Source organism: Homo sapiens, chromosome 4 (genome assembly GCF_000001405.40).
Source record: "Homo sapiens chromosome 4, GRCh38.p14 Primary Assembly".
In the NCBI taxonomy this organism is placed as follows: domain Eukaryota; kingdom Metazoa; phylum Chordata; class Mammalia; order Primates; family Hominidae; genus Homo; species Homo sapiens.
In genome coordinates, this window is record NC_000004.12 from 21,818,208 (window position 1) to 21,842,492 (window position 24,285).

At 34.9% G+C, this 24,285-nt stretch overlaps 1 protein-coding gene across 3 annotated transcripts in view; it reads right to left on the bottom strand.

The window, feature by feature from the left end:
* Positions 1–24,285, bottom strand: part of KCNIP4 (potassium voltage-gated channel interacting protein 4) — a 1,220,167-nt gene that overhangs the window by 1,089,602 nt on the left and 106,280 nt on the right. The gene's annotated exons all lie outside the window — the stretch shown is intronic.

A 24,285-nucleotide genomic window follows, 5' to 3' on the forward strand; every position in this document is an offset into this window, starting at 1 on the left:
AAATAGAAAGAACCTACATTGAAATATTGGGGGTGGGTTCCCCCAGTATTCTCCCATATGCCCCTCAGCTTCTCACTCAAAAAGCATCAACCCCTGTTCTGAAATCCCCAGGGGGTAACCCCAAACTCAGCTTCATATTTTCTAACTTATATTGTAGAGATGCATGTTCATGTCTTGTCATATTTATATGTTTGTACATTTCTAGACAGTAGGTGCTGTGTTTGTGTTTCCCAGTGGCCTGCCCTAATTGAAAACCCCTGATACATATACAGTAGATCTGAGCTGTTCAATTTTGTAGCCACTAGTGGTGTATGGATTTTAAACAAATTAAAATGAAATTAAATTAACAATTCAGCTCTTCAGTCACCCTAGCCAGATTTTAAATACTCAGTAGCTACATGTGAGCACTGGCTACTATATTGGATAGCACAGATATAGAACATTTTCATAACCACAGAAATTTCTGTTGGATACTGCTGCAATAGATAGTACTTGAATAAATGTTTTTTAAATCCCCTCTGTATTTTAGAAATGTGATTCTCTTAGAAACTTTCTATCTCATCAGAGCTTTAATCAAACAAATGCTGAAAATGAAAATGAGATTTAGGTCATCAAGATAATTCATTCTGTGAGACTAGTAAAAAACAAAACAAAACAAAACAACAAAACACTTTTTTTTCTACAAGTAGAGTAGTAGTGAGGGAACCAGGAACCAGTTTCACATTGCAGCCAGGCAAACAGCTTAAAAGATGCAAAAGACATCACATCCTTTCAAAATAATGGAAAATGCCTACTCTGTGGTTCTAGCATGACCACACTTTAAGCCATAGCTAATTCATGCAAAATTCTCACTCAGATTTCTAAATTTCTTCATAAAGTTTCAAACAGAGTCTTTCCAGGAAATTTTTTTAAAAACAGCATATTTTCTTTGCACTGATATTAGGTGAGGTTAAAACCCTGCCAGGGCTTCCTGTTGCACTTAGAATCAAGTCAAAGTCTTTTGGAATGTTCTTGAGTTTCATCTGTCACCACCCTCTCTGTTACTGGCTGGCTTGCAGCCATGCTGGCCTTCTTTCAGTTCATGGAAACAGGCAGCTCCCCAACCCTCCCAGCCAACACAGCTCACAACATGCTGCACAACACACACTGTGCCAGATTTCTTCAGTCTTCACCTTGATTTTCACTCCCTCAGAGCTGTCTTGCCTGACTACTCCTTCCAGTACCTTGTTATTTTCCTTCACGTGTAACCTGATATTTGTTGTTTATCTGTTTATTGTCTATATCCTGCAGTAGACATTAAGTTTGGTGAATGCCAGAACTATACTCTTTTATTTCCCACTATTTACCCAGCATCTTATGTTGCAGTGGCTAGATACTTAACACATGTTTATTAAATGAAAAAAAGAAGAAGAATCTCAGATAATTAATTTTGTTGAAGGAAATAATGATTTTTATTTTTAAAAAAGGAATTTTAAGTTAACTTAGTTTTGTGATTGCCTTTATGTGTGCTGTGGGGTAAGGGAGAGAGAGAAGATGGAACGAGGTTTAATTTTGAAAATATCACATAAAACTATCAAATTTATCCTTCGTTCAAATTTGTAAGGTTTGAGAGACACTTACTTATTGTTAGAAAATTATGAGACAGTCCTTTTTGGTGTGCAATATGAGATTTGGTCTCTTTTAGGGAAATAGTGAACTAAGATTTAATCTTAAATATTCATTAAATTTAGTGGCTTAAAATACTGGAGCAATGCCCAGATGGAAAGTGGCAAGATATTTAATTTGATATAGCTATCTAAATGTCCTCTGAGTACTTTTTAAAAAGCATTTTCATTAAAAATAATGAATTGTTTCACTCTATTAGTTTGGGTTAGAAAGTTAAAAAAATAAAATAAGGCAGATACACTAAGAAAATATCAAATGATCATAAAAAATTAGATGTCTCCTTGAACTTATTTTTACTCTTGTGCAAATCACATTACATATCTATGTAATAAACAATATACAGTATAATAAATTATTTTAAATGACACTAGATTATAAGATATGTATGTATATCTTATGTATGTGTGTGTGTGTATATATATATATATATATATATATATATATATATATATACATATATACACATACACACACACACATACAGGCATGAAGTACTATAAACTTGATTTCCTATATATGTCGACCCACATGCAGAGCTGGTTTATCCATGGTCAGACAATACATTTTTGAAAATAAGCCAATTGGATGTATACAAATTTGGAGAAGCACTTAAGCTATGCAAAACCACACAAATTATGGTCCCTGAATTCAGCTGAACAAAATATACAAATTATACAAATTACTACCAGAGTGGCATGAATTCTGCTACCTTCCTCTGCCATTTTAATTCATAAGTCAAGTTGTGACCTTAATCAAATGTAATTTTAGAACTGGAAGGGGCTTTAGAAAGGTTCGGATGATTTGTTTATTTTGCTCTGCTGATAATTTCACATTTGCATCATAATTACATTTCTCTAAGTTCACTGACATTTCAGTTAGCTTCAATGATCATTAAAGTTTTTTCTTCTTTAATCTACATTTGGGTCATGCTCATAGGGCTGTTCATATGCAAAGAAACCCATCAGAAAATGGCTGATTTCCACATTGTACAGTCATTCTACTTGAGACACTGAGGTTGAAAAATAATTGTCATTTTTAACTAAACATTATGCAACTGATAACTGAACATGGTTATCACTGATAACTATCAGGCATATTCATTTTTGGAAGATACTGAAACATATTTTCAGCTGTGTTATGCAATTCATACCATGTACCTTGTTGCTATTTGAGGAAAAGACAGTTTTAATTTACATCTCCTAATAATAAAATGCAGTTCTCAGTGTTAGCAATTGTTAGCTAGTGAAAACTCACTGTTCTTTAATTTCTACATAATATATATAGACGCCACTGTTACTCAGGTGGTTAGATACCCCAGGTAGATAACCTGACCTGCAGGCAATTGTCTTGTATGTCTTGACCCACCCATGAAGCAAGAGCTTAAAGCAAAAAGTGGAGACACCTTTCAATTCCAATCTCTTACTCTAAGACCAAAGCATCCTCCTGTAGGTGCCATTGAGGCCCAAAAGATTCCCATGAAATATATTTTTAAGGTCACTGAATTTTTCCACCATATATTCAAGAGGATACATTTCACTGGGGAAAGAGAAGTCAGAGCCATTCCATTTAAAAAGAAATCCAATCTCTTTTCAGAAATGTTACCCGCAGTTGAAATTGAGCAGGGAAATTTAAAAATTTTAAATAGTGGCTGAAGCTTAGTATCATATGGAATTTTAAAATTTGTCACAGAATTAGCAAACCTGAGAATACATATTATGAAAATGTTTTAGTGGGATGAATAAACTCTTCATTGCAGAGTGGAATATGCAGTTAGATAAATGCAAGTAACTCAATTTCAGGCTTTCTTGTGAATCATCACAGCCTCATTATTACCCGGTTGTCAATAATGATGTTAGATGAATGAATGAATGAATGAGTACAGTTGTCCACATTGTTCTATATTTGTAATAAACTTCATATTTAAAACATTTAAATTGAAAATTTTATACCCTATTCATTAAGCCTCTTATAAAATGTCACAATGAAACAATTTTACTTAAATAGTGATGACTACTACTTCTCCCTTGGAATACAACATCTTTTCTAACTCACATTTTTACAATGCTTTTCCATAGGAGAAGCATGTTTGACAAATTCACCAAGATGAAGCGCTAAAGCTAATGTTTACAAAATAAAAAACTGGTGCACAGAAGACGTCTCCAACTTATTTAGCTTCCATTCTACAATCCACAAAATAAAGTAATCATTGCCTCTGCACCAGGATTACACATGAATTCATCAGGATTTCTACCTGGCATCCTAGCATGTGATTTACCAAGAGACATATTGATATTGTCTTCACAGGACATAAAATAGAACAAATAATATTTTCCATTTTCATTATGCTTTCAGAAAATTAAATGGCAAAGAGCATACTGGGAATCTGTTATGAGATGATAATAAAATTGTGTAATTAGTCAGTGTCCAGAGGCAGAGCTGTTCTCCAGAAGTCTTCTTGAGGTTTCCTAAGGGAGAAACTTTCTTCCCTCTGGGATTTTATTAGGACAAATCCAGAGTCTCAACCCAATAATCCAACAAGCAGATATAACCACAGGGTACTAATCCAAAATGTCATCCAGGACTCCATGATAATATTATCCAGAAACAAATGTAACTCCCTATTTTTATACTTAAATTTATCTCTTGTTAGTTTCTAACCATATATTCATCTAGTGTTTTGTTCCATGGTAAATTGGTAGTTTACATGGGATTACAATGAAGGGATTATAAAGCGGTAGAGATTATTTGCCCAGCAGATGGTTTATGTATATTTAAACAGATATGAATAAGATTTTACAAAAGAAAATACAAGCTTATTACCAGTACAAAGTATATTATTAATTTTCCTTTTTTTTTTTTTTTTGAGATGGAGTTTCACTTTTTCACCCAGGCTGGAGCGCGGTGGCGCAATCTTGGCTCACTGCAACCTCTGCCTTCCGGTTTCAAGAGATTCTCTTGCCTCAGCCTTCTGAGTAGCTAGGATTACAGGTGCCCACCACCATGCCCAGCTAATTTTTGTAGTTTTAGTAGAGACAGGGGTTTCACCATGTTGGCCAGGCTGGTCTCGAACTCCTGAGCTCATGATCCACCCTCTTCAGCCTCCCAAAGTCCTGGGATTACAGGCGTGAGCTGACCAAATAATTTTTACATAAATAAAATATTTGGCCAAAGAGCTAAACTTAAATATAATTTTCCTGATTATAATTATAATTATTTAGATACAGCATGCATATCTCTTAAAATAAAAATATCTAATTTACTATTTCTCTCTCTCACCTTCTTTCTTTTCTGAAATTCACAATGTTCAAACTTGATTAGAAAGATCTTTCTAGACAAATCTTTCATACAAGAGCTACTGCTGACTTCATAGAAGGCATATTATCAATTAAACAGTACTTCGCCATTTTATAATATACACTTTAACAAACTTTTAAAATATTATTTATTTACATGAAAGAAAATTTGTTATATGGTTAAACCAGAGTTTCAAATTAAGTGTATGCTAGAGGGGTTACAGAAAACTATATTATTCAATTTTAAAAAAATAAATTCTAAAATTTCAAAGAAATACAAGCTTTCAACAGCTGCATTCTCCTTGTCCAAACATAAATGTGCATGCCATTTTTGTTCTGTCTTAAAAAAAAAAACAAAAAAACTACAGTCCTTCCAGATCTTATACATCTCAATACACTGGTACATTTTTTAAGAAAAGATTCTTGCTCCCCACCCCAAATACACTAAATCAGAATAGGGTAAGGGAAGGATGCTGAAATTTACACAACAGTGGGCATACAAGGTGTTTCAATACACATCCCAAAATGTGAGAATGACTACTCACCTGAGAAATCAGGCTAAATAGTTAGAAAGGCAGTCAGTGACTCAACTTTTAAATTATTGAGATTCTAATTCTAAAAACATGACTTTTATGAATCCCTCTTGGTAAATCACACACATAAAAAAAAATGACCACCGATTTTTCCCATTCCTGTATAAACACCCCTCTACAATGCAGCTTTGCAGCTCCTCCCATTAAGAGGTGGAATGCATATCTATACCTCTGGGTATCCATTTTTGGCCAGGTGACATATTTTTGCTAACAGGACATTAGTGAATGCGACAGAACAGAGAGTGGATAAGAGCTCGTGCAATGGGGCTTGCTGCTTTTCATGTTTAGCTACGATGTGAAGAAGCCTGGGCTAGCCTGCCAGTGAAACAACCACCTTTGCAAAATATCATAACAATGAGAAAAGCTCTGATCTAACGGACTCCATCTTGCTTCTAACCTCCAAGCTGCTCCTGTTATTCCTGGATATAGGCCAAAATAATGTTGGGAGAAACTTGGTTTACAGTTTAATTTTGAAACGAAGATCATAATAGCCATTTCCCAAAACAAATCCTCTTCTTGCCTGGGGACCAGACTGCCTATGTAAGACTAACAAATTAGCCACAAGATTAGAAATACGGTTTAGGAGTCATGCAGCCAGAGGCCGCAAGATTCTGAACTTCCTAAATTGCTCCTAGGGATAAAATCACTATTGTTAAAACCTAAGATTGGTGCTCAAGGCATTTTTCAGAACCTGCATTCTGATGCACCAGCTACTACCAACCAGACCAGTAATCTGGCTCAACCAATTCTGTGATCAGAATCAGAAGAGAAGACAGCAAGAAAAATCCACTTGGACCCCCTATGATTTCATTTCCAACCTGACCAATCAGTACTCCACACTCTCTGGCCTTGCACCCACAAAATTATCATTTAAAAACCCCAGTCTCTGAATGTTCAGAGAGTCTTATTTGAGTAATAAAACTCTGGTCTCCTGTTCAGCCAGCTCTGTGTGAATTAAACTATTTTTCTATTCCAGTTCCCCTGTCTTGATAGATGGGCTCTATCTGGGCAGCAATCAAGGAGAACCTGTTGGGCTGTTACACCAGATGCTAGAGACACAGGGCCCAGTTGCCTCCATCATTCAATCAACAGCAAGATATGTGAGAGCGAGGCCATGCTGTCCCCATCCAATCTACTAGCTGACTGCTAGTGAGGCCCAGAGACCAAAATGGCCAAACTATAATATTGCAATAAGGCATGTTGCTTAAATAACTATTATTATAGGTGTTTTGTTGTACAGAAAAAGCTAAATGATAGACCACTTTCACAAAAAAAGCAAATAGAAGACGATGTTTCTGATGTTAATTTTGGTAGTGTTCAAGCTTTACCACATTCTGGAATTATTTCACATGTTTTCATTTCAGGACTTGACGTAAGTGGTAGACATATCTGTACAGAACTAGATGAATTCAAGAAGTTTAAACATACTTTTTATCAAGTGCCACTGAGAGATGTGACCAATGCAGGAAGAAAAAAATATGTATAAAATGAACAAAATACTTTGTAGAAATAAACATGAAAAAAAAAACCTGCAACTGGAAAAACCAGCTCTGACATTTATTTTTGACTTTTACAAAGGAAATTCACTTGCATTGTTGAAAATTTAAGTTTACCATGGTAACTGCTTCCTCACACATCATTTTTATTCCCAACAAAGGTATTTGTAGACGATGATATACACTCTGTTGAATAGGAAATTTCCATCATAATGCTTGTGTAAGATATTAAAAGTCAGATCATCAGGCTGCTTGTATATATAAAGATTTTATTACACTCAAAGGATAATTAGAATGGTTTCCACAAGATTGAAGGTAATGACATGAAGTATGTGAAGATGCTTTAAAAGCTTTCAAGGGCTACAAAATATTGTATACTATTACAGCGACAAAAATATTATTTTGAAGGAGACTTCCACTATTTAGTTTTATTCATTGATTTATGTAACATAAGAGCACTGTTCTGTGCCTGGCTCACGGTTACCTACTAGGTACATTGAAGTTATTACTAAGGTAGACAATTCCATGCTCTCATGGAAACCATATTTTAGCAGGAAAAACAAGACGGTTTCAGGTGTTTACAAGTTCTGTGAATAAAACAAAACAGGAAAATGTGAGAGAGGATGGCAGATAATTTAGAATGGAGAATCAGGGACCCCTTAGGGAGATGACATTTAAGATGAGACCCGAATAAAAAGATAGAGCCGGTCATGCACATTTTGAAGAGCTGAGTATTTCACTAAAGGAGGACAGCAAGCTCAAAGAACCTAAAGTGCAAATGGAATTGGCCTTTTCAGTGTCCAGGAAAAGGCCAACATGGCTGATACCTAGCGAGCCAAAAAAGAAGTGCTAAGGGATAAGGTTAGAAAGGTGCACAGTGGGCAGAGTATGTAGCATTTTATAAGCCATGCAGAGCCATCTGGATCTTATCCTAAATGTCTGTGTATATTTGAAATCTACATAAGTCATTTTTGACAGTTACATGGGGATTTTGCCTGCCTACTCGACTTCGGTAATCCACCATATGAATACAGCAAGCATGGAATGTTAACTGAAGCAATACAACAATTTCTAAACTGACTACTAAATGAGTAAGACTCTGGAAATATTTTGAAAGGCAGGATATTTCCACAAAAGATTCACTTCTAAAACCCTTTAAATATTTCCTATACATTTCCCACTCAGATATCTTGATCGTAGCTTATTTGTGTATCACTAAAACAGTAACAACAATAAAAAAAATACAGAACTAGTCAACAAGGTGTTTTTTAAATAATTTAAATCTAGGATAAAAGCTATAAGACTTAATCAAAAATTTTTAAACGGTCACTGAAATAGGATTGTTTTAGTAAACTGGTGTTGAGGTTGATTAAAGATATGATCACATGTGAAAAAAATAAAGACAAATAAAAATTTGCAAGTAATTCAGAGGTCCAATTACTCTCCTAAAACCCAAATAATAGTAAGTTGGAGAAAAATCTGTGCTATACATAGCAAAATATATTTTATTCCCTCTATAAATTAACTGTATAAATATGATCATCTACATATGCAAACTGAATGAAAAAGTAGAAAAGATCATGTTTTAGCTGAAAAGGGTTGAAAAGTTTGAGATTTCAAGTAAATACTGAAAACCTAAAAAGAATAGCAGAAGGGAGCTTGAAAAACTTTTCTGAGGCTGTTTCCACAATAGAAGTTTTAAAAATACACACAGTTGAATAATACAGAAAATAAATTGTCATGAAAACAAATCTGAATAAATGATGTGTAGAGTTACTGCTTCTTCACATACAATATTTTGGTAATATAGTAGATCCCCCCTAAAAGTAAACTTAACACTGCATCTTAAATAATAATACAATTGGTTGAATACATAATGTGAATAAGCAATAAATTTTAAGAACACAAAATAAATTCCATTTGTGTCTAAATATTTCACTCTAAATAGGTGCTCAGCTATAAAAATCCAGTGTATGGTGGTTTTATTCAACCATAAAATCTACAATATGCTCTAAAAGGAAAAATGGTTACAGTTTGTGCATCTAAAATGCATCCTTAGTAAAAATTCATAAAACTGCAACCTAGGAGACTTAACAACAGAGTAAAATCAATGGAGTAAAAAATACTTCTTGAGAAATTTCAGTGTTTTGCAGTATAGAAGAAACAGTCCTAAGGCTTAACAAAATACTTTTAAAAATTTCTAATGTACTGATCTGTTGAAACAAAAAGGAAGAATTTCAGAAAGGCCAAAAACAAAGTGAAAGCAGAAACTAATAGATAATCAAGCATCAAAGTTTGGTTACATCCTCAAGGTCTCTGCCAAATTCTGAAAACTATGAGATTCTTTTGTGAAAGGTGTTCAGAGAGGACAGAAACCCCTACATAAATATAGAACCACAAAATAAATAATCTTGCCACAAAAAATAAGATAACAAGCAAATTCGCTGGTTTTGAATTTGGCACTTGGTTAAGAAAAAATAAATACACTTTCCTAAGAATCCCTAACCACAAGCTGAACCTCCCATGAATTTACAATCTAAGTTTACACTACTGTGTCATACAAAACAGCAAGCCAAGAATTTCATTTAACATTTTCCAGGTGTGGTGGTGCTCCCTGATGTCTGAAATAACAAAAGAAAGCTTTCTCTGGAGTCAAATGATTTCAACCCAGGGCTGAAATATTTCTCATATACAAAATTTTGGGTAAAACGAGCCGCTCTAACTTATAAACAGGAAAAAAGGCACCATTAATGAGAGTCATGTAAAAAAAAAAAAACCTGTAGAAACAAGACCACAAATACTTCACTTCTTAGAATTATCTCCATTGGATGCTAAATACATCTATTAATAGTATGAGAAAATAAAGTAAAAATTAAAAATATAAATTAGGAATAAAAGACTATAAAAGTTGGTACGTATATTTTAAAAAATCTAATAGAATTTTTAAAATAATACATAACAATTGAAATTAATAATAAAATGATTAAACGGATTAGACACAGTATATTAGAACTGGTAAACTGGGAAGCAGACTTAAATAAGTCATCCTAATTGAAGGACAGATAAACAAAGACAGAGGGAATATGAAAAACTTAAGATATTCTGAAGGTAGTGTAAGAAGGTCTAATAACAATGTAACTGAATTTTAGATGAAGATAATAGGAGAGAATGGAGAAGCAAATATACTCGAAGATATAATAACAAGACTTTCCAAAACTGTTGAAAGACATAAACCCTAAAATCTGGAAAGGAATATAAATTGAAAACAATGTAAATAAAAATAAATCCATTCCTGGACACATGGCAGTAAACCTAAAAAATGCCAGACCATAACAAGATTTTAAAGCAGAATAAAAAACAAAAAGAAAAGAAAGAACAGGTCGCTTACAGACTAATAGTGATTAGAATGATGACTGACTTCTAAATAATAGTAAAGGCACCATGAAATCATGTCTCCGAGTGCTGAGAAGAAAAAAATGTATATCAAAATAGAAGTATATATTCAATTTTATTGTTGAAAACCAAAAAGAAATCAATAAAATTTCTGACAAATGCCCAAGGAGAGTTTACCACGAACACACACTATCTAAAATAATAACAAATATTTTTAAGGCTGAAGGAAATGTTGCCCAATGAGAGCTTTGCAATGCAGTAAGAAATGGTGATAAATACATGGCTTAATATTTTGGTAACTCTGCAAAAATACATATAGGGGAAAAGCAATATGGGATGGAAATGAAGATGCTTTTCAACATATTGTATCCCAATATACCCATCATAAATTAAAAATATTCTAAGTAAAAAAAAAAAATTAAATGCTGGCAACACAGCAGACAGTCCCCAACTTACGATGGTTTGACTTACCATTTTTTTACTTTACAATGGTGCAAAAGCAATCTTTGGGTTTGGATCGGTTATTGATTTCAATAGAAACCATAACCCCATCACAAGACAAGAAACTCCTCTATTTATGATAGAGTTACATCTTGATAACCATTGTAAAGTAAAAAAAATCATATGTCAAACCATTGTATGTCAGAAACCATCTGTAGAGAGAAAAATAGCACTGACACTGAAAGGGGGTGATGGTCATTCAAACATTCTTAAATCCTTGTATAGCTTGAAAAGATGGGTACACATCTCTATTAATCATAGATTTCATTAGTAATAAATGGTAAGGTATAAGGGTAACTAGTAGGAGAATACAAATTGAGTGTAGATTTTCCAAAAAAGTAGAGGAAAAAAATGGAATAACAAAAGAAAACCTAAAGAACAGCAAGAATGAGTTTTAAAGAATAGAATACAAGGACTAAGAAAAAGCACAAATAATATAGAAAAAAATTCAAATTAAGTTGTCCTCAGTTTAAAATAGCCTGTTACAAAATGTTGTATATAAGCTTCACAGTTCCACAAAGCAAAAACCTATAGCAGCCATAAAAAATAAAAACTAAGCACACCAATAAAAATTAACGTAATAGCAGAGAAAGAAAGAAAAAGAGGAAGAAAGGAACAAAAGTTCTATAAAACAACCAGAAAACAATTGTTTTAAATGACAGTAGTTTTTATCTATCAATAAGTATTTTGAATTGAAATGGATTAAATTATCCAATGCAATCAAAGCATACCAATAAAAATTAACCTAATAGTAGAGGAAGAAAGAAAAAGAGGAAGAAAGGAACAAAAGATCTATAAAACAACCAGAAAATAATTGTTTTAAATGACAATAGTAAGTTTTTATCTATCAATAATTATTTTGAATTTAAATGGATTAAATTATCCAATCAAAGGCATAAAGTAGCCGAAGGAATAAACCAAAAGTTAAGTACATGCAGCCTACCTACCACAGACTCACTTCATCTTTGAGGAAACACAGGATAAATATTAAAGATGGAAAAATATTTTCCACAAATATAAATCAAAAGACAGCATAGGGAGCTAAATCTATACCAAATAAAATAGACTTTAAGTCGAAAACTGTAAAAAGAAGAAAAGGTTATTCTAGTATAAAAATGGCTCAATTCATCAGGAGAATATAACAATTATATATATGTACCCAAAATGAAAGCATTTAAACCTATAAAGCAAATATTAACAGATTTGAAGGAAGGTAGATTTTAATACAATCATAGTAGGAAACTGGCCAGGCATGGTGACTCATGCCTGCAATCCAAGCACTTTGGGAGGCCGAGGCGGGCTGGATCACTTGAGGTCAGGAGTTCAAGACCAGCCTGACCAACACAATGAAACCCCGTTTCTACTAAACACAATACAAAAATTCGCCGGGTGCCACTGTGCTGTAATCCCAGCTACTCAGGAAGCTGTGGCTGGAGAACCTCTTGAACCTGGAAGCCAGAGGTTGCAGTGAACCAAGATCATGCCACTACACTCAAGCCTGGGTGACAGAGCAAGACTCAGTCTCAAACAAACAAACAAACAAATAATAATACTACTAGGAAACTTCAATACACATTTTCAGCAATGGACAGACAGATCATCCAGACAGAAAATCAATAATGAAACATCCAAATTAAAGTATATGTTAGGTCAAATGGATATAAAAGACATATATAGAATGTTCCACCCAACTGCAGCAGAATACACATTTTTCTCAAGAATTAATGAAATATTCTGCTGGACAGATCATATGTTACGTCCCAAAAGAAGTCTTCAGAGATGTTCAAAATTTAAAATCATTTCAAGTTCTTTTCCTGACCACAGTGGTATGACTAGAAATCAATAACAGGAGAAATCCTGGAAAATTCACAAGTATGTGGAAATTAAACAACATGCTCCCGAACAACCAGTGGGTCAAATAAAAAACTAAAAGGCAAATTTTAAAATATCTTGAGACTTACAAAAAATGGAAACACAACATACAAAAACTTCTGGGATGCTGCAATAGCAGTTCTAAAAGGGATGTTTATAGCAATAAAGGCTGACATCAAACAAGAAGAAAGATCTCAAATAACCTGACATTATACCTAAAGAATCCAGGGGGAAAAAAAATCAAACTAAGCCCAAAGTTAAAGAAGGAAGGAAATAAAAGTCAGAGAAGAAATAAATGAAAAAGAGACCAGAAAAATAATAGAGAAGATCAAATAAACCAAGAATTGGTTTTTTGAAAAGATAAACAAAACTGACAAACATTTAGCTAGGTTAACAAAGAAAAAAAGAAAGAGGACTCAAATAAAATCAGAAGTGACAGAGGAATCACACTTAACAACTGATACCACAGAAATACAAAGGATCATAGAGTCTACTATGAACAATTATACACTAACAAATTGAACAACTAAGAAGAAACAAATTCCTAGCAGCATACATGTCCCAAGACTAAATCATGAGGAAAGAGAAAATCTGAGCAGACCAATAATAAGAAGATTGAATCAGCAATTAAACATTTTTCATCAAAAAAAAAAAAAAAAAAAAAAGCCCAGGACCTGATGGTTTCACTGGTGAATTCTACCAAAGATTTAAAGAATTCACACTAGTTCCTCTTAAACTCTTCCAAAACACTGAATTGGAGAGAACACTTCCAAACTCATTTTATACAGCAATCACTACCCAGATATGAAAACCAAACAAGGATACTGCAAGAAAAGAAAATTACAGACAAATATCCCTGAGGAACATAGATGCAAAAATCCTTACCAAATACTAGCAAACCAAATTCAATGGCACATTAAAAAGATCATATACCAGAAATCCCTGATGAACCTAGATGCAAAAATCCTTAACAAATACTAGCAAACCAAATCCAACAGCACATTAAAACAGCACATATATCACAATCAAGTAAAATTTATCCCTAGGATGCAACAATGGCTCAACATACACAAATCAATAAATGTGATATACCACATTAACAACCTGAAAGACAAAAATCATATAATTCTTTCATAGATGCAAAAATGAAGCATTTGACGAAATTCAACATCCTTTCATGGTAAAAATGCTCAACAAATTAGGTATAGATGATAATAAAGGCCTTAAATGACAAACTCACAGCTAATATTATACTCAACAGTGAAAAGCTGAGAGCTTATCCTTTAGAAACAAGAGAAAGATGCCCACTCTTGCTGCTTCTATTCTATTTTTATAAGGGTGTGCTATTTAGTGTATTGTGGCTCTGACATAAGGATGGACAGAATGGCAATGCCAGAGACAGACCCAGTACTATATGGAAAGATGGTGAGCTGTGTCAATTAGAGGGAAAAAATGGTCCTGGGGCAACTAATTACCCATCTGAGGAAATCATCAGTTTGAAACCCACTCTCAATCCAAAACAATTCCAGATGAATTAAATTCTTTTTTGTTTTTATTTTTTTTATTTTTTTTTTTATTATTATCATACTTTTAAGTTTTAGGGTACATGTGCACAATGTGCAGGTTAGTTACATATGTATACATGTGACATGCTGGTGCGCTGCACCCACTAACTCGTCATCTAGCATTAGGTATATCTCCCAATGCTATCCCTCCCCCCTCCCCCCACCCCACAACAGTCCCCAGAGTGTGATGTTCCCCTTCCTGTGTCCATGGGTTCTCATTGTTCAATTCCCACCTATGAGTGAGAATATGCGGTGTTTGGTTTTTTGTTCTTGCGATACTTTACTGAGAATGATGATTTCCAATTTCATCCATGTCCCTACAAAGGACATGAACTCATCATTTTTTATGGCTGCATAGTATTTCATGGTGTATATGTGCCACATTTTCTTAATCCACTCTATCATTGTTGGACATTTGGGTTGGTTCCAAGTCTTTGCTATTGTCAATAATGCTGCAATAAACATACGTGTGCATGTGTCTTTATAGCAGCATGATTTATAGTCCTTTGGGTATATACCTAGTAATGGGATGGCTGGGTCAAATGGTATTTCTAGTTCTAGATCCCTGAGGAATCGCCACACTGACTTCCACAATGGTTGAACTAGTTTACAGTCCCACCAACAGTGTAGAAGTGTTCCTATTTCTCCACATCCTCTCCAGCACCTGTTGTTTCCTGACTTTTTAATGATTGCCATTCTAACTGGTGTGAGATGGTATCTCATTGTGGTTTTGATTTGCATTTTTCTGATGGCAAGTGATGGTGAGCATTTTTTCATGTGTTTTTTGGCTGCATAAATGTCTTCTTTTGAGAAGTGTCTGTTCATGTCCTTTGCCCACTTTTTGATGGGGTTGTTTGTTTTTTTCTTGTAAATTTGTTTGAGTTCATTGCAGATTCTGGATATTAGCCCTTTGTCAGATGAGTAGGTTGTGAAAATTTTCTCCCATTTTGTAGGTTGCCTGTTCACTCTGATAGTAGTTTGTTTTGCTGTGCAGAAGCTCTTTAGTTTAATTAGATCCCATTTGTCAATTTTGGCTTTTGTTGCCATTGCTTTTGGTGTTTTAGACACGAAGTCCTTGCCCATGCCTATGTCCTGAATGGTAATGCCTAGGTTTTCTTCTAGGGTTTTTATGGTTTTAGATCTAAAGTTTAAGTCTTTAATCCATCTTGAATTGATTTTTGTATAAGGTGTAAGGAAGGGTTCCAGTTTCAGCTTCCTACATATGGCTAGCCAGTTTTCCCAGCACCATTTATTAAATAGGGAATCCTTTCCCCATTGCTTGTTTTTCTCAGGTTTATCAAAGATCAGATAGTTGTAGATATGCGGCATTATTTCTGAGGGCTCTGTTCTGTTCCATTGATCTATATCTCTGTTTTGGTACCAGTACCATGCTGTTTTGGTTACTGTAGCCTTGTAGTATAGTTTGAAGTCAGGTAGTGTGATGCCTCCAGCTTTGTTCTTTTGGCTTAGGATTGACTTGGCTATGTGGGCTCTTTTTTGGTTCCATATGAACTTTAAAGTAGCTTTTTCCAATTCTGTGAAGAAAGTCATTGGTAGCTTGATGGGGATGGCATTGAATCTGTAAATTACCTTGTGCAGTATGGCCATTTTCACGATATTGATTCTTCCCACCCATGAGCATGGAATGTTCTTCCATTTGTTTGTATCCTCTTTTATTTCCTTGAGCAGTCGTCTGTAGTTCTCCTTGAAGAGGTCCTTCACATCCCTTGTAAGTTGGATTCCTAGGTATTTTATTCTCTTGGAAGCAATTGTGAATGGGAGTTCACTCATGATTTGGCTCTCTGTTTGTCTGTTGTTGGTGTATAAGAATGCTTGTGATTTTTGTACACTGATTTTGTATCCTGAGACTTTGTTGAAGTTGCTTATCAGCTTAAGGAGATTTTGGGCTGAGACAGTGGGGTTTTCTAGATATACAATCATGTCGTCTGCAAACAGGGACAATTTGACTTCCTCTTTTCCTAATTGAATACCCTTTATTTCCTTCTCTTGCCTAATTGCCCTGGCCAGAACTTCCAACACTATGTTGAATAGGACTGGTGAGAGAGGGCATCCCTGTCTTGTGCCAGTTTTCAAAGGGAATGCTTCCAGTTTTTGCCCATTCAGTATGATATTGGCTGTGGGTTTGTCATAGATAGCTCTTATTATTTTGAAATATGTCCCATCAATACTTAATTTATTGAGAGTTTTTAGCATGAAGGGTTGTTGAATTTTGTCAAAGGCCTTTTCTGCAACTATTGAGATAATCATGTGGTTTTTGTCTTTGGTTCTGTTTACATGCTGGATTACATTTATTGATTTGCATATATTGAACCAGCCTTGCATCCCAGGGATGAAGCCCACTTGATCATGGTGGATAAGCTTTTTGATGTGCTGCTGGATTCGATTTGCCAGTATTTTATTGAGGATTTTTGCATCAATGTTCATCAAGGATATTGGTCTAAAATTCTCTTTTTTGGTTATGTCTCTGCCCAGCTTGAATTAAATTTAAAGTGAAAAGCAAAATTTTAAAACTTTCAGGAAAAAAGTTTCACCCTACCTTACAGTAGGGTGAGATTATTTTTAAAAACACGACACAAAATGTAAACTATGAAAGATGATAATAAATTCTACTACATACCAGTTTAAAGAGTGAAAAGACAAACCAGAGACAACAGAAGGCTACTTACACTAATAAATGACTATTTGCAAACTCCCATTACTAAAAAGTGAAAAACAAATAACATAATAGAAAATTTTAAATAGTCTATAAAAAATAAAAAGGTGATCAATCTCATTAGCAATTTGGTAAATGCAATTTAATTATGAAATACCATTATATATAACTACTAACTTCTAAAAAAATTAAAGCTGTCCAATACTAACCTTGGATGACCCTGTGAATCAATCCAAGCTCTCAACAATTATTAGTAATTATTAGGAGTGCGGAAAATGGTGCACCAACTTTAGAAAAGTTTTTCCAAATGTTTTCTTACGTTTTTTTTTGTTAGTTTTTTTTTGTTGTTGTTGTTTTTAACTAACAATCTTACTTGTATATGTTTCCAACATTTACAAATTAAATTATCGGTATTTTCATACCCTATAGCCCAGAGTTCTTTTCTGAAGAAGCTTTCATGTATATGTATCAGGGGCCATGCATGAGAATGTTTTCTACTGTTTATAAAGACTAGAAGCAAACAAATACCAATCAAAAACAGAATGGATAAATCAAATGAGGCATATTTGATTCAATACAGTTTAACACTGAAAATGAATAAGCCACAGGAAATAGCTTCAGCAAGGACTGACCTAAAAAAAATATTTAGCAAATAAAATCCACAAAGAATACATTCAGTATGACTCAACTGTACATAATTCAACTATAAGCAAAACTAAAAATATATGGCTTATGGGTACCAACACAGGTGGTAAAAGTATAAGAAAAAACAGGGCAAAATTAAGCCAAAATTCAGGAACCTCTTTGGGTGGACTGGTTGTGAGACTGGCAAGGGGCACACCACCCCTAAATTACCTGCAATGTTTTATTTTTTCAGCTGGGAAGTGGGTGCATTGTTTTCACTTAGGTTCTTAAGTTTAAGTGGTAGATCATTGGGTCTTACATATTCCATAACAAAATTTTTTTAAATTACAAAGAGAAATAAACAAGAAGGACTCAGCTGCACTTCTTGATGACATGCCCTTTCTTTAGACACCCTGGGAAAACTCAATTATTGTACATCAACAGCTTTTGCCTGAAAGTAGAAAGCCTAGAAAGGAGATAATTGCCTCTCCACTATCTGTGATTGGGAAACTATAGCCCGCTGGGAAAACCCAGGTGCGCAGTGATGCCAAGAGATGTCCTATTTTTTTCCAAGTTTTAACACAAGAGAATGGTGTTTGCACTCCCTTCGATTTATTCTACTTCAATGTACATTTTCCAGAAAAAAAAATTGAAAAAAATCACAAAACATGGCTGTTGGAAAATTTGCAGTTAACTAGTTCTCTAATATGTTGATGTTTTAACATGATGCCTTACTTCACACTGTAAAAAATGCTGGTCTCTAAAGGACAGGGGAATGTTGTTATGGAAAGAAATAATGGAAAATCCAGTCTTGCTATTTTCTAAAAGCAAAGGAGCTTCTTCCCAGAAGAGCCCAGCAAATGTCTCCTGGGTTTCAACTAGTTCCAGGGCCCTGAAACCAGGATTGTGGTCAGACAACTGAGATATATTAATGGGCTTAATCTAGGAGCCAGATGGATTTGTCCTCTCCCAAAGTGCAGAGGTATTAATATGTTGCTGAAGTTGTGGAAGCTCAAAAAAGCTGGGATAAATTTTTTTTTTTTTTTTTTTTTGAGACAGAGTCTGGCTCTGTCGCCTAGGCTGGAATGCAGTGGCACGATCTCGGCTCACTGCAAGCTCTGCCTCCCGGATTCACTCCATTCTCCTGCCTCAGCCTCCCAAATAGCTGGGACTACAGGGGCCCGCCACCACGCCTGGCTAATTTTTTGTATTTTTAGTAGAGATGGGGTTTCACCATGTTAGCCAGGATGGTCTCGATCTCCTGACCTTGTGATCTGCCCGCCTCAGCCTCCCAAAGTGCTGGGAATTACAGGCGTGAGCCCCGCGATCGGCCAAGCTGGGATAACATTTATCAAAAGAAAGAGGCATGGCCAAGGGCGGTGGCTCACGCCTGTAATCCCAGCACTTTGGGGGGCCAAGGTGGGTGGATCACCTGAGGTCAGGAGTTCGAGACCAGGCTGGCCAACATGGTGAAACTCCATCTCTACTAAAAATACAAAAATTTAGCTGGGTGTGGTGGTGGGCACCTGTAATCCCAGCTACTCAGAAGACTGAGGCAGGAGAATCACTTGAACCCGGAGGTGGAGGTTGCAGTGAGCTGAGATAGCGCCATTGCACTCCAGCCTGGGCAACAAGAGCAAAACGCTGTCAAAAAAAAAAAAAAAGAAAAAGAAAAAGAAAGAAAGAAAAGAAAAGAAAGAGGCAGATAGATAGAAAAGAAAAAAAATTGACAACTACTCATTTTTAGGGTTTCCATAGGCTGTTTCTTTCTCTCCCATACCTCTCAGAGATAATTAAATAATTTCATTATTGTAAGTCCATGAAGTTGTTCAAAATGAGTTAGCTGCCAAAATTTAAAATCATTTAATTAAGATGGCTAAAAGACAGAAAGAAAATTTTATAAATTGGAGTTTGGGATCCTGAATAATCCAAGCTGATTATCTGCCATTGCTAGTGAAAAGGCTTTTCTTAGAAATTCCATCAATATTTCTACTAAAATAATGCCTTAATTTATTTTGGGCAGCACTGGGCCAATTATCTCCAGGCATGTTTTTCTCCCTATGCCTGTCATTTTGTGGCATTACATTAAATTGTGTTTAAAAATATTCCATAAATAATGAATTATTACAAAAATAATTTATTACTCACTTAAAAGCTATAAAATATTAAATATAAAACTTAAGGACAAAGAAGTAATTTCTAATTCACATTGCTTACACAAAATAATAAGGCCTGCATCTTCTGTTACACTATGGAAAAGAAAATATTTCACTTATTTCCTTTCAGGCTCCAAAGGGCAGAAAGAAGAGTGAAAACTCTTTAATCTTCAACCCCCCTGGACTAGCAATAACTAATAGGAACCCCCTGAAAGTGACATCAAAAAAAGTCCGGAGGCCAGAGTGCCAGAACTTCTGCCAAGCTAATTATTCTCATGGTATTGAAAAATCACTCTCACTCTTGTGTTGTAAAAGTGGGACAATCGCAATGGACAATTCCTAATGTTCTTCGTGGACTGGTAGCTCACATGGGGCTTTATTACTCCCCACTGGAACAATAATGAGAGTTCGTGGTCTCATGGAGAACCTTTCCACCCCAGTCATAGAAGAATGAAATAACTTCCTTAGTGAATTTCTTCTATGTATTCTGGTTACCCGTTGGTCTACCATCATTTTATATCTATGGATACATTAATGCTATGACCACACAACACTTTTATGAATTCGTATTGGGCTACATATTAACATTGATATCACTTAAAAGATAGTACAGCCATCAGCACTATGTTCTGTGCTGAATTTCCCACCATTTCTCTTTCACCAGTGTAAAGAAGTATACATTTGTATCTATAGGGAGGTACAAACAGTTTGGGGCTCTGGATCCTTAGAAAAAAACAAACAAAAAACCACTTCTGTACTTTCTTACTGGACTACAAAATTTTCTGCCCATATTATATCTGATCAATCAAAGAAATGAACTAAATTTTTTCTCTTGAATATCTCATTCCCTATTACTCATAATAGCCACATGATATTTACTGTTGCATATGATTTTCTATGAATGTCCTTCAGTCAAATAGTCCAGTTACTTAAAATATAGTAAGCAAGAGAAAAAGTCATTTTTGAGGGCACAATTGTGTTTTCTGAATTACATTAAAATAATCATTTAGAAGGAAATATGCCTCTAGCAAGTTTGATCAAGATAAACACAAAATGCTCCATTTCATTGAAATTTATATTCTCTCAACACTGAATTTTATTATATTTAAAAGTTTTTTAGCATATATAAGTGTATAGAAATCCTAGTATCTATGTTCACAAATAAAATGTAATTGAATAATAAATCAAAATTAAACTTTTAATAAATAGTATTATATTCCATTAGAAGTTGCAACGTATTATCTAAATGTAACAATGATTTATTTGTATTAAGGTTCATGTGATGCAAACATAAGTCAGATTATAGAAATCTGAAGTTAGATGTCTCTAAGTCTTCCAGAGGAACTTTAAAACAATGCCAAGTATTTGAAAAATATTTTGTAATATATGTCAGGTGACACACTTCCCCCATCTTTCCTAGAAAAAGAAAGAAGACCAGTTGCAAAGGCTCACGTCTGTAATCTCAGCACTTTGGGAGGCCGAGGTGGGTGGATCGCCTGAGGTTAGAAGTTCGAGACCAGCCTGACTAACATGGAGAAATACTGTCTCTACTAAAAATACAAAATTAGCCAAGCATAGTGGCACATGCCTGTAATCCCAGCTACTTGGGAGGCTGAGGCAGGAGAATCATGTGAACCTGGGAGGTGGAGGAGGTTGGGTGAGCTGAGATCGCACCACTGCACTCCTGCCTGGGCAACAAGAGCAAAACTCCATCTCAAAAAAAAGAGAAGAAATAGTGTGCTTTTCTATAAGTACTTTCTCTTTTTTTGAAGAATGCGGACCAATGCTGAACACGGAATCAAGCTTGGGATAAGAATAGCTAGAGGACAAAATGCTGGTGTGTGGGTTATTATGCAAGTAAGATGCCTTGGATCTCCGTCTCATATAAGGTGGAAACTCTCCCTCCCCACCCTACATCTTGCCACTCTCATGAATTCCAGGATAGTTGGTAGTTTCCTAATCAAGAGCTTACTTATCGAAAATACTCCATGGCTTTTGTAGAAGCTTCTGTTTGACAATTCCTCACTACACATTGGTTCTTTACCATTACAAAGCACCGCGGAGGTAAGTTCATTATGCACAGCAGATGTGTAGGGCACATTTGGGATAATGGAGAGGGGTTAGGGCATGGCAAGCACAGAAAACAACTTGAAATAAGATACTAGATACAACTGTGCTGAAACTCCACCAACCAGCCCCAGCAAGAAGAATGTCATTCCGGTGATGGGTCTCCATAGAACCTATACATTCTACCACACTAGTGAGTCTCCTCTGTAGTCTGTAGTCTTCCACCGTAGACGACGTTGCACAAGTTGCTCTCTGAATTTACAAATGCCTTTTATTTTATGTGCAGAACAGCTGTTTCTCTTCTGTTGTGCCCTGCTCTTGCTAAATATGCATTTTGAGGAAGAGGCAATGTTGAAAGAAGCTAAGAGGGGTTGAAAATTCATGTTTCAAACCAAATGGCTCAAGATGGTGCACATCTGTGTTTTCTTCTGACCAACTTACATCCCTCTTTTTCCAATAATGGCACCCCAATTTTGCTTTGAGAAGCTATCCACGCCCCTTGAATAATATGTTGGTGGGGTTGTTAAAGAGTTTTTCTTTCCCAAGCCAAGAAATGAGCAAGGCTTTGAAACTATATTCTCTTAATACCTTTTCACTAAAATTTTAGTCTTGAACAGACTGAAACAAGCACATAAAATGCCCAGAATTCATCACCTTAATGGCATCTTGAAGACACTATGTATTAATTTGTTATAGCCAGACCTGCATAAAGGCTCTGGTTTACTTGAAAGTCAATGTCTCAGAATTTTCTTCAGTGCTGTGAGCTATCCTGTCTCATCAATAAATTTCTTTATTGCTTATGTCATGCACCACCAGTTTCTATTGCTGACAACCAAATTAAACTAACTTATATCATGGGGATATTTTCCTAACAGAGCTCCATCTGCTTTGAAATTAATTGTTGCTACTGAGTATGTGAAATAAACCATTATAAATTGCTTTTTATATGTCTTCCTAATATTTGTTTCATAAAATTTATTTTTAAAATAACTATAAAATTATTTTTTCCTGCTGAAGCTATCCTTGAAAACTTTTAGGAAGAACTCTGAGGCATGTTCTTTCTTACAATTCTCATAATGCTTATGAACTAAGGCAGAGATCACCAACATTCTTAACGTCAAAACATTCTACCATTTTACTTTCTCAGGTCATTGCATTTGAAAAGGTCCATACAGATCATTTAATCCAAACTCAGCAGCCCAAAAGGAATTCTTTCCATATTATACCTAACAGATGGTTACCTGGTCTCTTTTTAAACACTTGTTAGCAGGAAGCTATTCGTTTATTTGACCAACCCATTACAATTTTATAAGAATTTATCATGAGAATGTTCATCCTTGTGTTGAAAAAGAATGTGACTTCCAACCTTATTCTTTCTCCCAATGTCTCTTTTCCTCTTCATATGCATCCAGGAACTTCTGCCTATAAATTTTATTTCTGCATAAGTGATCACTGGCATCTGGCTACCCTTCAAAGATTTTAAGATGACTGTCCAATTTCATGGAACATATCCCTGTTCTCCTAAAAGAATTCCAAGCAAATCATTGAACCATATGAAATCTATAGGTCAAAATCTATAGGTTGTTTTGAAATTTTCTGAAGGATTCTTAAAGTGATTGGAGACACAGGGTGTCAAAAATCCTAAATGATATTTTTAAAAAATTAGCTCTGAAAAAAACAAGTAAGGATTAGTTGTTTATAAAATGTTATGGTGGTTCCTTTAAAACAATCATTTCTTAAGAGTCAGTGCACTTAAGATTATCTGAAAACAAGTTATCACTTCAGGCTCTCAAACAAAGTTGCTTCTTTTGTGCAGCAGCAGATTAAAGGTGGCGTCCTTCAGCAGCAAAGTCTATGCTGAAGACCACTGGAAATGCTCCTCCTTTTTAGGAACCCTTCCCTCAGAAATTGATGACAATCACAAGAAACCACATACCTTGGCAGAACCTGTAAGTGCTGAAAAAGTAAAATGCTTTGAACATTTGCCAGGATTTATTATTCATCAATAAAATATATTATTTGCTAATTCATGCCCCAAAATAATTATTCATGTCTTTAAAATTTTCAAAGTAATAACCATAATATGCAGAAAGTTGATTCAGAGTTCAGTAAGATTTTTTAAATGCCTACCATATATGTCTCTGACAAGAGGCTCCTCATACCTTATTACTAATTTGACATACATTTTATATACAAATAGTTTTACACTAGATTTTTAGAGCTCCAATGAGATGCTTTTGCTTTTTTTAAACAGTCTATGTTGCCATTTCAAATTGGCACATTTTTTCACCTAATAGAGATTCCTAACAAGTAATATTTATCTCTGAATATGTCATTACTTCAAATATTACTCTCTCTTATATTAAGGTAACAGTACGCAATGTTG